The 16,582-nt window shown below is 38.0% G+C and overlaps 2 protein-coding genes across 35 annotated transcripts in view, besides 2 other annotated features; one reads left to right on the forward strand and one right to left on the reverse strand.

Moving 5' to 3' along the window:
* Positions 1 to 7,344, forward strand: part of USP53 (ubiquitin specific peptidase 53) — an 82,918-nt gene extending 75,574 nt beyond the window's left edge. For 24 of the 33 annotated variants that reach the window (XM_017008313.2, XM_047415829.1, XM_047415828.1 and 21 more), the window contains 2 exons: positions 2,991 to 3,087; positions 4,164 to 7,344. In XM_017008313.2, the coding sequence (XP_016863802.1) occupies positions 2,991 to 3,087; positions 4,164 to 5,037 (971 nt within the window). In that variant the 3' untranslated portion in view covers positions 5,038 to 7,344. The remainder of the gene's footprint in view (positions 1 to 2,990; positions 3,088 to 4,163) is intronic. The other 9 variants (XM_047415834.1, XM_047415837.1, XM_005263077.5 and 6 more) reach the window with 1 other exon arrangement.
* Positions 7,345 to 8,244: 900 nt separating this feature from the next.
* Positions 8,245 to 16,271, reverse strand: ARLN (allregulin). Of its 2 annotated transcripts, NM_001170330.1 has the most exons (3): positions 16,071 to 16,271; positions 12,162 to 12,559; positions 8,245 to 10,605 (listed from the first exon to the last, which is right to left on the reverse strand). In NM_001170330.1, coding segments are annotated over exons 1-3 (600 nt in total). In that variant the 3' UTR covers positions 8,245 to 10,604. The 2 variants fall into 2 exon arrangements, with proteins under 2 accessions (NP_001163801.1, NP_001001701.2); NM_001001701.4 differs by lacking the exon at positions 16,071 to 16,271 and having other exon boundaries at positions 12,162 to 12,471.
* Positions 12,065 to 12,114: an enhancer, noted in NCBI's record as "active region_21854". NCBI's record gives its function as "activates an Ori minimal core promoter by ATAC-STARR-seq in GM12878 lymphoblastoid cells {active_cell/tissue: GM12878}" and the evidence as "EXISTENCE:reporter gene assay evidence [ECO:0000049][PMID:35858748]".
* Positions 12,215 to 12,444: an enhancer, noted in NCBI's record as "active region_21855". NCBI's record gives its function as "activates an Ori minimal core promoter by ATAC-STARR-seq in GM12878 lymphoblastoid cells {active_cell/tissue: GM12878}" and the evidence as "EXISTENCE:reporter gene assay evidence [ECO:0000049][PMID:35858748]".
* Positions 16,272 to 16,582: the final 311 nt, after the last annotated feature.

Below are 16,582 nucleotides of genomic sequence, written 5' to 3' on the forward strand. Positions count from 1 at the left end.
ACTGAAACTTTCAAAATATTTATTCATTTAAAGAAATAAACCCAGTACATGCTAACACAAATAACATTTTTAAATGAAAATTAACTATTGAAAACAAAAATTTAGTGAGATGAATGGCATTGTTTTATGCTTTCAAATCTCAGTTAATGCTTGGCTTCATGTAAGATGGCTGGATTCTTGTTTTTGCATCAGACTGTTGTGATGTTTTCATGTATGAAGAAAGCCCATTTACACACAGATAATACAGTTGGAAATAGGAATATTTTAATAGCTTTTCCTAAAAATTGTGGATATTATTCTTTGACACTACACCAAGTAGTAGTTTCTTTAATGCAGTGTGAAATCTGAAACCATAGTATTTAACTTTTCGTCCTCCATTACATTAAAATACATCAGTCTGTCTTGCACTTTGAATGGATACTTTACTCATGCATGATTTTGTAACATCCATGTAGGGTCATTTAAAAAATACTGGTTTGCAGCCGGGCACGGTGGCTGACACCTGTAATCCCAGCACTTTGGGAGGCCGACGCTGGCGGATCACCTGAGGTTTGGAGTTCGAGACCAGCCTGACCAATATGAAGAAACCCCGTCTCTACTAAAAATATAAAAAATTAGCCAGGCGTGGTGGCGCATGCCTGAAATCCCAGCTACTCAGGAGGCTGAGGCAGGACAATTGCTTGAGCCTGGGAGGCGGAGGTTGCAGTGAGCCGAGATCGTGCCATTGCACTACAGCCTGGGCAACAAGAGCGAAACTCTGTCTCAAAAAAAAAAAAAAAAAAAAAATACTGGTTTGCTGAGTTATGCAGGGCTTCCAAGTGTTGATACATTTCACTAATATCTTTCTAAAAACTATTTTTGTTACTATCACCATAGATACTAGCAGAAAGTCTTTATAAGTATTGGGAAGTTGCAAAACTTGTGGTGGATACAAGTTTTCTTCAAACAGGTGTCATGCTTAGTATTACCACAGCAAAAGTGCTTTATGCATATTTCCCATTTCCTCATATAGAATAACAAAAAGATGTGCAAATGAAGTAAATTAATAAAATAATTGTTACTGTTTCATCAAGCATTCTTTAAGTAAAACTGGCTTAAAAAACACAAGTATATGGCAATGAAGAATACAATTAGTACAGTTTAGTGTTACTGCCTTGAATTATGCTAACATTTTTACCCATTATTGTTTTTGCGTCATCAGTGTAAATGGCAACACAGTCAAAAAGTAAAGTAACATCTTAATATTATCATGAAAATAGTTTGACTTCATAGACCCTCTGAAAGGGTCTCGGAGACCTCCCGGGGTCCAAGGCCACACTTCGAGAATTGCTGAACAAGCATAATCTTAAGACTTGGTACATATTGGGTATTCCATAAACTGTAGCTATCATTATTGTGGTGGTACATGACTAAAATAATTTTATACAGTTTTCTGCTTCTCATTTCTACGATAAGTGGGTGATGATGTTCACAAAGTAATTAAAGATACTTTTGTGCTTTGTTGATACATTGGTGGTTGTGACTTTTCTATCAGTATATTGGTGCCCCAGGACCCTTGTGCCTTAGTAAAGGAAAAAGCTCCCTGTAGACCTTCAGGTTCTCAGATATAAAGCACTTGTTCTCCCATAAGGGGGAATCAAAAACTGAGATGGTGTTAGGTAAACTCCTGTACAAATCCAAATGTCTTAGTTCCCTTTTCTTCATCTCTACCTTTTAAAATAATTTTTAGTTTTCAGGGTTTTGTTTGTTCAGTTGGGCCTACTTTATCTGTAGTCTGGACATTAATTTAATTTAATTGTATTAAAGATTAGAGGGCAATAGTCATTTTTATTAGAGCTGTTTTAGTTAAGGTCATGTTTTGTAGAGAGAAATCCAAATGTAGATAATGTTTTACTCTGAACATTAATATTGTTAAAGGCTCTCCAGTGAATTCTCCTAGAATCGTTGTTCAGAGGGAAATAGACCTGCTGTATTTTATGTGGTGCCATATTGACCTTTAGGTTCTAATCAATAGCTAGCTATAATTAGAGAGAGAGAAAAAATGATTAATTTGGTATCTGAAATCTCATGTAGCAGGCTTGGAAGACACTTGGAAGTAACAAAAGTCACACTGTAAATTAGTATAACTTTTTTCATAAGACTTCATTAAAATTAAATTAAAAAACTATTTGGTGCCTATTAAATGTCAGAACCAGGAGAGAAGTTAAGTATCAATTATTAGGAAGCATTATGGCATCATGGTTAAGAGCACGGACTTTTGAGTCATAAAGATCTAATTCTGTAGTATATCGATATATATACTTAACCTTTCTAAGCCACTGTTTTCTCATCTGTAACATCAAGTTGCTAGTCATTTCTTTATAAGGTTATTGTAAAGATTAAATGAAATATCCACTTCTCACAACTTGAGTAAGCAGTCAATAAATGGTAGCTAATTAGTAGTGGTATATTTTATATGCTATCATAATAACCTCCTACCAATTTTAATTCAGTTTAAATTCCTAATATTCCCATGAGGTAGGTAAAATGGATTATCATTATCCCATTATATAAGTGAGGGAACTGAGATTTTAAGAGGTTAAAAGGCTTGTTTACCTACCCATAATTAGTGAGTCCAAACTTCAACTCAAGCCAGCGATCTTCAAATGCAGGGTTTTTTTCACTGTTAACACTTGGTCAGTAAAGATCTTGTCTTAAGTAACAGGGAAAACACATACACAGATCTGCATGACCCAGCAGGAACAGCACTATTCCATCATGGATGACACCCTCAAGTGATAATAAACTGAAGAAATTTTGCATAAAGCATTCCAAAAAGAACTGTTATTTTGAGTTGGGTCTTAAAGAATTCATTTTTTTAAATTGGAAGAGATTACCTTTTATAGAAAGCTTTATGTAAATATAGAAAAGTATAAATGAAATAAATTCTGTAACATAATTTAAATAATTTTGTTTTCCTCATCTCTTCTCCCCACCCCACCCAACCCTAGGCTTTAGAAAAGAACTCAGGAATTTGGAAGCAGGCTATAAATCTCATGAATTCCACCCAGAATCACATTTACAAATAAAAAATCATTTGATAAAAAGGTAACCATATTTTTTTTCCCTAAATACATGTATTATAGGCACGTTGTTTATCAGAAGGGCATAAATACATATTATTACTTTGAAAGCAATGGGTCTATAGTATTGAGATGCCTTTCTTATTGGGAATCATTAATACAATGTGGATCTAAGGATAGAGAGCTTACAAAGTACCAGGTACAGTATCTGATTGTCTGTTTCAATCCTCACAGCATTCTTATGAGGTAGGTGATATTTTACAAGAGAAAATTTGAAGCTTAGGTTAAGTAATGTGACCAAAACTATCGAGCTGAGATTTGATTATAGCTCCATCTACCTAGCAAATCCTCAACTCTCTTTAACCATTGCATTCTAATTCAATTCCACATAATTCATATAAGAAAAATAATTTGCAATATGGCATCATTTACCCTCACCTTAGAAAATAACTATTACCTAAAGATAATCTTGATTACATTATTTTAAACTATTATACAGCCAGGTGTGATGTGGTGGTACATGTCTGTAATCCTAGCTACTGAGGAGGCTGAGGCAGCAGGATCACTTGAGGCCAGTTTAAAGCCAGCCTAGGCAACATAGCAAGACCCTCAAATATAATATAAATATATTTGCAAAATATAATAAAGTAATTAATATACTATACTGCTATATATCAAAATTTAAGTACTTCTACCTCTATTGCCTTTAAAGTTTGGAATGTTGGTGGGGAGATGTTTTAGAGTACTGTTTGACTGTTAACACTTTCCTCAAGTTCTATATATTGTTACAAATAAATGTAATTTTAGTGTTTTGAGTTGAAGTGAGTTTTTAAAATTATATTTCTAATTATTAGAAATGGGATTCTGGTAATGATGGGTGTTTCTGGTAAACACTCACATATTCTGACATAAAGAGTTTGGATTTGGAGAGAGTTGAAAATGTTAATGGTTGCAAATATCTTTCCATTTTTGTGGTTTTGTTGTAAAAATAATATAAACTGTATTTTGGGAAAATCAAACTACAAAACAAATGTTTATTTTCCCCTAGTTTCATATATTTGCATAGGGTGTTCTAGCTTTGTTTTTATTTTCATATTTCAGATCACATGTACATGAAGACAATGGAAAGTTATTTCCTTCATCCAGTCTACAAATACCCAAGGACCATAATGCAAGAGAACATATCCACCAGTCAGATGAACAGAAACTTGAAAAACCGAATGAATGCAAATTTTCTGAGTGGCTTAATATAGAAAATTCTGAGAGAACAGGTTTGCCTTTTCACGTTGATAACTCTGCTTCTGGGAAGAGAGTGAACAGTAATGAACCATCTTCATTATGGTCTTCACACCTAAGAACTGTTGGGTTAAAGCCAGAAACTGCTCCTCTCATCCAGCAACAAAATATCATGGATCAATGTTACTTTGAGAACTCTCTATCCACAGAATGTATAATTCGGTCAGCCAGCAGATCTGATGGGTGTCAGATGCCAAAACTTTTTTGCCAGAATCTACCACCCCCTTTGCCACCAAAGAAATATGCTATAACCAGTGTGCCACAGTCAGAGAAAAGCGAATCTACACCTGATGTCAAACTTACAGAGGTGTTTAAAGCTACCTCTCATCTTCCGAAGCACAGTTTAAGTACAGCTTCAGAACCAAGTTTAGAAGTGAGTACACATATGAATGATGAAAGACATAAAGAAACATTTCAAGTGAGAGAATGTTTTGGCAACACACCAAACTGTCCATCCAGCTCCTCAACTAACGATTTTCAGGCAAACTCAGGTGCCATTGATGCATTTTGCCAACCAGAACTAGACTCTATTTCTACCTGTCCAAATGAGACAGTTTCATTAACTACCTATTTTTCAGTTGATAGCTGCATGACGGATACATATAGATTGAAATACCATCAGAGGCCCAAGCTCTCTTTTCCAGAGAGCAGTGGCTTTTGTAATAATTCACTATCTTAGAGTGAAAAAGGACTAGACCTGTGTTACATAATAATCTTGGTTCAAGCTGCCCTTCTGAACAAAGATATAAACCTAGCATACATTGTAATAGATAACTGGTAAAACTGACCAACTTTTACTTCTCAGAGGCCATTTAAATATAATAGGAACCTACTGACCAAACCTAGTGATACATAAAATTAAAGCCTGTGGCATTTTTAAAGTTGTTAATCACTATACATATGTATGTGTATATGTGTATACACATATATAATTTTATGATCAATATCTTAGATATTTTAGAAATTCCCTTTGAATAGTCTTGGCGTGCCGTGAAAAATAGAAAATCAGGGAGATATAATAATTCATTTGTCATATGCTACAGTTGAATAAAAATTAAATTTGTCCCCCTATTTTGTGGCCAGTAGACTGGGAAGTATTAAACTAACCAGTACTCATGTATGGAGATTATAAACTATGCTAATTGAAAAGTACCAGGTGATACATAGCCTGGTACTTTTTTGTCAAAGAATTGCTTTATGAAGAAGCACTTTCTAATGGGTAACCAGAAAAGGGCTTCACCCATTTGTTTTTGACTTCTATGATAGTCACTGCATATGATCCCTTTAAGTGTCTTTAAAAAAAATGACTTATGAATTTGATAGCATTTGGGGAAAAAAAGCCTTATATGATTAACAATTTGTAAGTTTTCAAGATCGGATGGAATTTAATTTTGCTCCTAGAATTTTTGTCTTCAGAATATCTAGTTAAGATAAATTAGGCCTTTGACTATTATAGGTATTCATAAATGCTACTTTAGCCATGTAAGTTAAAAAGTTAAAATACTTAAACTTTAGTGTATTTATTTATCTCGTTACTTTTTTTCTAATTTTATATGAAATGTGAAAGGTCTTTATTTTGGTTTGGTTTACTTTGGGCTGCTAACCACCAGTGTTAGGAATTAATGTAGGGCACCCTCTTATTGGGAATGTCACTGTAATTGCCTACATTTTCTTTGCTGTAATATTACCTGCTTATAGGTTGTCAACCCATTTTATCTGAATTTGAAAATCTATCTAGGTTTCCAGATTAAATTTCTACCTTTCATATAGAGAGTTTAATTTTAATAAAATGTTTAATTAGAGCATCCTTCCCTTTTATTCTACTTTGAACAAATAGTAATTTTACCCCAACTACTTTTCATGAAGAGTGCTTTGAAAATTAAAGGAATTTTTATTATTATGGTAACCTTATGAGTAAAAATAAGTTACTTTAATTGCTTTATTTCGTTAGTTGTCATTTTATTTTGTACTATGCTGGTAAACTAATTGTGGTTTAGAATAGTTTTATGTTCACTCCTGATAACTGAGAAACAGAACTAAAGTTTTCCTTACATTGCTAAATGGATAAACCTCATATTCAATAAACTAGTAAATGTAGCCACTTGACTGATTGCGTAAATCGTGTTAAAACATTCTAAAATGTTGTAACTAATTTAATGTGAATACTGTTAAACAGAAAATAATTGCTTATAAAAGTCTAACTTCACCCAGTTACCAAGTCTTGGCCAAATTTTATCTTCTGCCTATAGTTTTTACTAGCCTTTTTAAACTATAATAGTGAGTGATCATTACTTTATATTCTCGTAAGTTAGAAATACTTGAATGCCAAATTAATTTTGTTTTAAGAAAGCTTATTTTTAACATAATTTTTTAGTGTGGAGGGTTTGTAAATAATGTAAAGTTTGTAAACCTGTATTTAAAATACCAAAGTTTTTCTTCTTTTATAACATTGTAAGATACTAGAAAAATGGGCTTCAAGTTTTTTAATAGCTTTCACAGTTTGTGTAGTTTTTTTTTTCTATTTGGTTAAGATGTGAGTTGGAAATGTATTATTTGAAACATTTAAACTAATTTTTGTATTTAACAGCAGTCTCAGACATTTGTCTTTTCAACTCAGTTGAGTTGTAGATATCAAATAGAAATGTCCAGTTTTGCCTCTTTTAAGTACTGTCCAGTTGAAACCTCCTGACTCATGTACTACTACACAAACTAGAAAATGCCCATTTATTTTTGTTGATTCAACACTCCAGATACAGATTGATACATATATACTAATCATTTTATTTCATGTAAAAGTTTTACATCTAGGGTGCCTATTTATTTTTATAGATGCTTTCATCCAGTTATAAGCTTATTATAACTTTGTAAATATTTCAGCCAACAGTTGTAATGTTTAAAATACTTACCTTCAGAATGTTATATTTTCATGTGAAATCAATTTCTTCTAATTCAAAAAAATTTTAAGATAAACTGATTTTTAAGTTTATATGATTGGACTTCTCTTTGCATTCATGAACTGTGTGTCACCCTCCCACCAACGTGGATTATTTTGGGACATGTTAAGTCGCGGGTACTTGGAATTTCACTGATCATAAACGGTTATCACAGGAGATCCTAGGAGTTAAACTCCAGCAAGGTCTAAAGCACAGCTCCTTAGAAAAGGAGTTGGCAAACTTTCTATAAAGATAGAAAATAATTTAGGCTTTGTGGACCATAATATTTCTGTAATAACTACTCAACTCTGCCTTTGTAATGTGAAAGCAGCCATAAACAATATGTAAATGAATGAGCATGGCTGTTTTCCAGTAAAACTTTGTCAACATAGAAATCCAGATTGCATATAACTTTCATGTCATGAAAGTTTTTTTTTTCTCCATTTTAAAATGTAAAAAATATTCTTAGCTCACAGGCTGAAGTCTCCAAATGTACTCCCATGCCACTTACGGACTGAGTATTTGCAGCTCTTTACATCCTAAAACGTTCAGGTTAAGCTCCCTAAAAACTATCCCTTGCAACTGCTAACAAGCCAGTTCATTTCAAAAGGAACTACTAAAACAATCATTTCACTTTATATAAAATGGTGTGAAATTTACAAAAGAATTTATCAGAGTAAAGTCACATTTTCTTTTGATGTCTTTTTTGTTTTGTTATCTTAGCAAGTTTGCAACTTTTCTTGGCGTTCCATTTATCCACTTCTTAAAAGCCTTCAAACTGAGGGCAATGTAAGCAGTCACTATACTTGCTATGGCACAGTTTAATGGTAGGTACAATTTCTTACCTATAGGAAAGATTCAGCCTTCATACTGCCACCATTTTGAAAATGCCAATTACAGTCATGTCATATTACTAAGTCAGGGTTTGCCATAGAAAGAGAATCAACAGGATATATATAGAAATAAATTTATTATGAGGGATTGGCTCTTGTGATTATGGAGGCTGAGAAGTCCCACAATCTGCTTTCCGCAGACAGTAAGCCCAGGAAAGCCAATGGTGTAGTTCCAGTCCAAACCCAAAGGTCTGAGAACCAGGGGCCCTGGTCCATGTCTGAAAGCCAGAGAATCAGGAGAACCAATGTCCAAGGATAGAACATGGATGTCCCTGTTCAAGCAGAGAGAAGACAGAATTTGCCCTTCCTCTGCCTTTTTATTCCAGCTAGGCCCTCAAGGGGTTGGCCCACCCGCAGTGGAGTGGGTGGCTCTTTTTTATTCAGTCTACTGATTCAAATGCTAATCTCTTCTGGAAACACCCTCATGGACAAACCCAGAAATCTGGGCATCTCCTAGCATAATCAAGATGACATATAAAATTAACCTTCACACCAAGATCTCTCCATCTTCACCATACTAGAAATTTTCAGAATATTTGGTAATTGTGGTAGTAGGCTGATTTTAGGCTCAAAAAGGCAGTATGGATTATGATCGGAAGTCTGTGTGTGACCTAACAGTAAACTATGTGAGAACTGTTAATCACCTCACAATCACACCACCAGGTAATTTGTTAGAATAAAACCAAACTCAGCTATATAAGTAAACATTTATTAGATGAAACCATTAGCAAGCAGTGCAGAAACAGTTCACACAGTTGATTTGGTAAACTCAGTGAAATCCCAGTTCTGTGTTCCTACAGATGTTTCAACCATACCTTCCATAGATGGTTCTCTTTAGGTTGATGTGACAACACCTTAAAAGCATAATTGCTAACTTTATAGTCAGCAATTATATTCCAGACTTGACTAACCCTAAGAACGATTTTGAAAGGTAGGAAGATATACAGAGAGTTTACCAGATCTTATGCCCTGTTTAAAAGGCGGGGGAGTATCCCCAAAATATTTAAGACAATTCATATATGCTGAATGCAACTAATTTAAACAAAAGACCACTTCTACCATTCCTCATGTAAAGCCTTTAGGGCTAACAGGAATATTTTCTTTTTGAGACAGGGTCTCTGTTGCCCACGTTAGAGTGCAGTGGCCCCATCTTGGCTCACTGCAACCTCCACCTCCCGGATTCAAGCAATTCTCGTGCCTCAGCCTCCCAAATAGCTGGGACTACAGGTGCATGCCAACATGCCCAGCTAATTTTTTTGTATTTTTTTGTATTTTTTAATAGAGATAGGGTTTCACCAGGTTGGCCAGGCTGGTGTCACAACTCTTGACCTCAAGTGATCTACCACCCTTGGCCTCCCAAAGTGCTGGGATTATAGGCGTGAGCCACTGTGCCCGGCCAACATTAATATTTTTTATTAGCTACTACAGCTTAGAGTAGCTGCTATGGGAGTGTGGCCTTTTTGATTAAATACTAGCTGATCAACCCTAGAATATAAATTCTTGTTTTATAACATTTAGATTTAAATAACAATAAGAATGTAAGCTCCATGAAGGCAAGAATGCCTTTTTGTTTTGTTCACTGCTGTGTCTAAAATAATGCCTGGCTCAAATATTTGTTGAATGAGTAAATATGCTGACTTTGCTGAAGTATTTAAGCAAGTTACAGATATTATACAAGTAAATATTTTGGGCACAAGCACACTTAATGAAACAGTAAAAAAAAAATAGGTTTGAAACACATAATCCTTCGTTATAGGAGGCTCAAGAGTTTAAAAGGAAAAAAGGGGGAAGATACCCAGGTAAGAGGGCATGCATGCTAGCTTTCCAATACTTTGATATTACCTGCTTTTTCTAAGACTGTATCAACCTGTCGCCCACCCATAACCTATCTTTTCATAACAGAGTCCAACTAAACCTAAAAATTAAAACTGGAACCTAGCAGCTTCTACGCAATCTAAGAATACTTTGTTCCCTCTCTCAAAATCTTTCCCTGCTTTTGAATAATTGACTTTTGAATTCATAAAAACCTTCCCTTATTAATCATCCTATTACTTGCATCATAGTAAACCCTGATCAACTCTTAAAACATTAAAAGACATTACTATATTTCTTAATGAATACACAAGACCTTTAAGTACAAATGCTTTTATATTCAGCCCCTGTAAAGCCATCAGATGTTTGAAAGTTTTTAAACACGAACCAAAGGGTTTAATTTTAAGAACTTAGCTAGGAATGGGTGAAATCCTACCCAATTAATAGAGTTCTGCAAATTAGTAACAAAGTGTAAAATGAAAGGAAGGGTCCCTTGGAGATGTGAAATTCTTCTATTGAGAGTCCTGTCTTCTTTATTCAAGAAGTTTGTAGCCATTTTCAGAATTCACTCAAGAACCAACTTCTTAATTTAGATATCAGCGAACAAGTCTGTAAAAAGCAAGTATTTGTCAGCAATATGTGCTTTATCTTCCCAGTTTTTAACACTTTATGCCTATTTACATATTGATAAAAAGAAAAGCCTAGAACATTTCTTGTAAGGCCTCTATTTTCTATCCAGAGCTGAAAGTTCAGGTCATAAAAACACACACACACACAAAACCCACTGTATTTGAGATTATCAGTCTCTACCAAAACAGGGAGGGAGAGTAAAACTCTCCCTTTACAAATGGCTTGACAGAGAATTTTATAGAAATCCCTATCCCTTTTGCCATCCTCCCATTAATCCCTCTCGCTCCCCTGCCACCCCTTTTTTTGAGACAGGGTTTGCTTTGTCTCCCAGACTGGAGTATAGTGGCACGTTCACAGCTCACTGAAGCCTCGACCTCCCCAGCTCAAGCAATCCTCCTATTTCAGCTTCCCAAGTAGCTGGGACTACAGGCGTGAGCCACTGTGCCTGGCCCTCTCTGTCTTCTCTAACTTACTACACCATCCAAGAAATGAGACAGTGAGGCTTAAGACACCCAAATCTTGGTGAAAATATAGGATGGGGGTTGGGGGTGTAGAAGAAGTGACTGCCTATCAAGAAGTGAGAATTTCAGAAGTAACTCATAGGCATGGTGACTAAGGAGTTAACAGTGAGTGAACAATCAACTCCAAAGTCCAGGAGAGCTGTCTAGATGGGCTACACTGCTCTTCTCCCATAGGAGCCCTGTTTCATCTCACTGCTTCTCCTTAGCTTGTCTCTTAACACCATCTCCATTTGGTGTCTGCTTCCTCCTGCCCTATTCTCTTAAGTTCCCTTCCTTTACCCTCTGCCAGAATTGTCTTTTCAGAGCGAGTGGCGATGAAAATGGAGAGCATGGGTTTTACAAGTAAACTCTACAGAATTTTGTAACTTGGTGTTTTAGGATATGTGGATGTGTGTAAGAAAAGGGCAAAGTGTCTCAGGTTTCTGGGAGGTAACGGTGGATAAAGTTGGCGTTTACTGAAATGGTAACGCTGCAAGGCAAGTAAATTTGGGTAAGAAGCTGTTAAGAGTTCAGTTTTGGACATGTTTAGTTTGAGACAGCTGCGTGGTCTGCTCATGGTTAAACAGCTGTATAGTAAAAATAGCTTTCGTTGAGCACTTACTACTGCCAGGCAACATGCAAATCACTACGATCTCAATCTTCACTACACCCCTATGACCTGGGTTACTAATGGTCCCAAATGGCAGATGAAAAAATAAAGCTCCAAAAGGCGAAATAACTTCTCCGGTCGCTTCATGGTGCTGCAGGAACTCAAGCCTAGCTGGTTTCATTCCAAATCATGAGAAAATATGACGCCAAGTTTTCTCCACACTTCTTTGGAGACTCCCACGGACGTGCTAAAGAAGGACATTTTACTCCTAGTCCTTCTCCCCCACCCACCCGACTGCGCCACTCACCAGCTGTGTGATCTTGGACATATATAAACTCTCTGGAATTCAGTCCCCTCCCCGCCCAAAAGCGAGCAAATGATCTCTAAGCTCCTTACCACCCCAATTTTGCATTCGAGATACTCACCATGGCAAAAAATACACAAAGAGAAACACCACCACATCGAAAAGGATGAAAAGCCAGAGGTCCAACCAGTAGGAGTGTTTGGGAAGCCCATTTGCCCCAGACTGAGGCCTCACATCGAAGTTCTGCCTCCCTCCCTCGCTAAAGCCTCGCCGCTCCCGGAGACCATCTCGACCATCAACACCCGGTGCGTCCACCTCCATCTCGCTCCTGCAGCTTCGTAACAACCCTAGAAACCGAAAATGCTTAAGTTCCCGGACTTTGGTGTTCGCCGCACCGGAAACTGAGCGGAGTCCGGCCGCCTGCGCAGTGCGCCGCGCCCCGGGTTCCGGAATGCACTCTGAACCTACTCTTCCCAGCGCGCAGGCGCCTGGCTCGGCTTTCCGCTGCCTCCGTGACCGCTGGCATGAAGCGCGGCCTCCGCCTTGACACTAAGTCAATGGGCCCGCCTACTTCTGCCTCGCGGCGTCCCAGGCAGATAGCTGGTTATTCAGGTTTCGTTGGAAGAAATACGTTCTCGTCCCCCTGAAAGGCCCAGTCCAGTCAGGTGATGGACTCCTCCCTGAAACTGCACGAGGTCACCTCTCCTATCCCCGTATTCCGTTTGGATCCTTATGCCAACGTGTTAGGAAGGCCCCCTCTGGTGGGTTTTGTACTGTCTCTAGCATTTGACACTTAATATTTAAACACCACCAATGAGGTGGACGTCCTACTCACGGGACTGAGTTTCCAAACGGGCCAGAGAGCAGCACGTGAGCATTTTGCAGGTACTTCAAGGGAGTGGGTTTAAGAATAACCTGGCCGCGCCCCCCTGTAATCCCAGCACTTTGAGAGGCCGAGGCGGGCGGATCACCTGAGGTAAGGAGTTCGAGACCAGCCTGGCCAACATGCTGAAATCCCGTCTCTACTAAAAAAAAAAAAAAAAAAAAAAAAATCCAAAAATTAGCCGGGCGTGGTGGCAGGCGCCTGTAATCCCAGTTACTCGGGAGGCTGAGGCAGGAGAATCGCTTGAACCCGGGAGGCGGAGGTTGCAGTGAGCTGAGATCGTGCCACTATTGCACTCCAGCCTGGGCAACAGAGCGAGACTCCATCTGGGGGGAAATGGGGGTGGGAAGAATAACCCAAAGGTTATTTGACTTTGAGTGTGAGCCTCAGCAAGAACAGAATGCTAGCAGGAAGAAAATGACCTATACTGCCTGGATTTTACCTCGTGGGTCCAATTTCAAATATTCTCTTTCTTGTCACATTATGATTCCTGAATTGTTCAGAAAATAACGGGCACCCAGACATATAAGTGGTTCTCTTGGTGCATAGTAAATGGAGATAAGACTGTAGTTGTGTTTTTACAAAGTCATTAAATCGTCGTAAAACCTCTTTGAAGGGGCAGTACTCCATCTTATAGAATTAGGAAATGAGACACAAAAGGAGTGAATTGTCTAAGGTTACTAAAAAAATTATAAAGCCTAAAATTAACTCCAAATCCAGCACTCTTAAAGCTGTTCCATAGCTTCCTAACCTTGCTCCAATTTGCCTCCAAATCAATTGCCAGGTTTTAGAGACAAAGATAGTATACGACCTTTCAAGAAAAATGCTTTGTAGATTCTGGGATGAGAGGGCCATTACCTGAGAATTAATTAGATTGTGTGCTGTAATACAGATTGTCTGATGGTAGTAGACAAAAAGACCCTGGGCTTAAGTGGCATTGAATCTTTACAAAAATTAGGAAAGGCAAATAAACAATTGCCTCTACCAGAGATGGAAGCATTCTTCTCGCTGACAAGGTAGGATCAATTACTCCTAGTTATTGAAGTAGGATTGATAAAAAATTATTGAGATTATTAGTGTTGAAGAAGCATGACATAAACTGAACAGGTCTTGAAATGGTTTTAAACTTGTCTTTGGCCCAGAGTCACATGCTCATCATGAGGGGATGTTGACAGTATGATCTGTTCTAGAGTCAGGAACGTCTGCCAGACTTGGAAGAGCAACTAGTGCAAATAAGGAGGGGTTATTTAAACTAAATTCAGTTGAAAGATTCTATTTCCGACTTTACCCTTGTAAAAGTCCCACTGATTGTTGATTATTCCACATTACAGAAATGAGTTTAGAGTGTGTTATGGCTGATTTTGAACTACTGGCCTCAAGTGATCCTTCTGCCTCGACTTCCCAAAGTACTGGGATTACAGGCATGAGCCACCTTGCTCAGTTGGCATTTGCCATTATCAAAGCAATTTAAATTTTAAAAAGTACTGTACTGAAATCCAGGTTCACTGTCAGTCATGCAATACCTCGGCACTTGTCCAACCACCTTGAACTTTCTACTTCACATGTTCAACTGAAAAATATGCACCAGGGACTACAGATTGAATCATTGCACTGCAACCATGATCCAACACTTCCATAATTCTGTCAGCACAATTAATCTGATTGAGCTGGGGTGGAGAAGGTGGTGTATGAAAATGCTATAACCATCAGGCCAAAGACAGCTAAGTGTTTTTAAGAAGACGTTACAGATCTTCTGAACTTCAAGTGCAATAAGTTTTCAGGAGGGAGATGATGATGAATTTTGCTTTAACCTAAGGGATAATGCAAATTTTTCGTATGCAGCTCTCAAGCCAGTATATCCATGTGATAAAGCATCCTCATGATCATCCTAGGAATTAAATTAATTTTATAGAATAACCTCTCCAACAGTGGAGAATTTGGTTACTGTAATTTTCATCTGGAAATATATGTGTTTATCTTAAATTATTCTTTCTCATCTTAACTTTGTCTTTTCCTCCTTTTCAAGTTGAGTACCTGTCCTAGCAACAACCCTGTTGATTGGTACCACAGGTTATTTCTCCATCTTCTGGGTCATTTTATTTATTCATTTTGTTGTTATTGTTCTCTTCAATTCTTTTTTTTTTTTTTTTTTTGGAGACGGAGTCTTGCTCTGTCGCCCAGGCTGGAGTGCAATGGTGCGATCTTGGCTCACTGCAACCTCCACCTCATGGGGTCAAGCGATTCTCCCTGCCTCAGCCTCCTGAGTAGCTGGGATTTCAGGCGTCTGCCAGCACGCCTGGCTAATTTTTGTATTTTTAGTAGAGACAGAGTTTCGCCATGTTGGCCAGGCTGGTCTTGAACTCCTGACCTCAGGTGATCCGCCCGCCTCGGCCTGCCAAAGTGCTGGGATTGCAGGCATGAGCCACTGCACCCAGGCTGTTCTCTTTCATTCTTACTCCTTTGTATATCTTCAATAGTTTTCTTTGTTTAAGAGTTGTACTATCTGCTGGGCGCTGTTGTTCACACCTGTAATCCCAGCACTTCGGGAGGCCAAGGTGGGTGGATTGCTTGAGCCTAGGTGTTCGAGACAAGCCTGAGCAACATGGCGAAATCCCATCTCTACAAAAAATAGAAAAGTTAGCTAAGTGTGGTGGCACACACCTGTAGTCCTAGCTACTCAGGAGGCTGAATTGGGAGGATCACTTGAGGTCGAGGCTGCAGTGAACTGTTATTGTGCCACTGCACTTCAGCCTTGATGACAGAGCCAGACCATGTTCCCTCCATGCTCTAACAAAGAAAGAGTTGTACTATCATCATAACTAGGTTGCAGCTTCTCTTTTATCTTCATCTTGGCCTTAGCAGTTCCCACCTTTATACCCACTATTAATCTGGCTCTACTCTACTCAGCCAACCTGGTACCCAGGAAACATTCTTTGCTCCAGTCAGAGTGCTTTCTTCCATCTTCCTCATGGAAACTATTCTCTTGGCCTCTGGGCTTTGGTGCATGTTTTTCCTGTTAAACTGGAATGCTTTCTCACCTGTCCAAATCCTACTCATCCTTCAGGGCCCCACTTAAGTGCCAACTTCATAAAATTTCCTTCACTACAATTCACATTGATCTCTCCATTCTTGGTATTTCTAACATACCAATTGTGAAAACTTCACATTTAACTTGTCTCCACCTTCTATGTCATGTTTTCTTCTTGGGGAGAGGGTTATTTTCTCAAGATCAAGGCAGTGAATGAAGTATTTGTTTCCATAGTTTTTTGCCTTCCTTTGGCACCTATTATTTCCCTCTACATTCTGTAATGGTCTCCTATTAATGGGGCTATTTATTAGACTGGTCATCTTTCAAAATTTCCCTACCTCTGACTCAAAAAACACTGAAATTTTCTTGATATTGTCTGGCACATTGGCTTGCTTTGTAGCAATTTTATGTAAATTTTCTCCCCTGTTAGAGTATTAAGTTATGTTCATTTGTTTTGAGACAGGGTATTGGTCTGTCACACATGCTGGAGTGCAGTGGTGCAATCAGAGCTCATGGCAACCTTGAACCCCTGGGCTCAAGCAATCCTTCCACCTCAGCTTTCCCAGTTGTTAGGACTACAGGCACACACCACCATGCCAGGCTTGCTTTTTATTAATGTTTATTTTTGTAG

The sequence above is a fragment of the Homo sapiens genome, chromosome 4, assembly GCF_000001405.40.
Source record: "Homo sapiens chromosome 4, GRCh38.p14 Primary Assembly".
Classification (NCBI taxonomy): domain Eukaryota; kingdom Metazoa; phylum Chordata; class Mammalia; order Primates; family Hominidae; genus Homo; species Homo sapiens.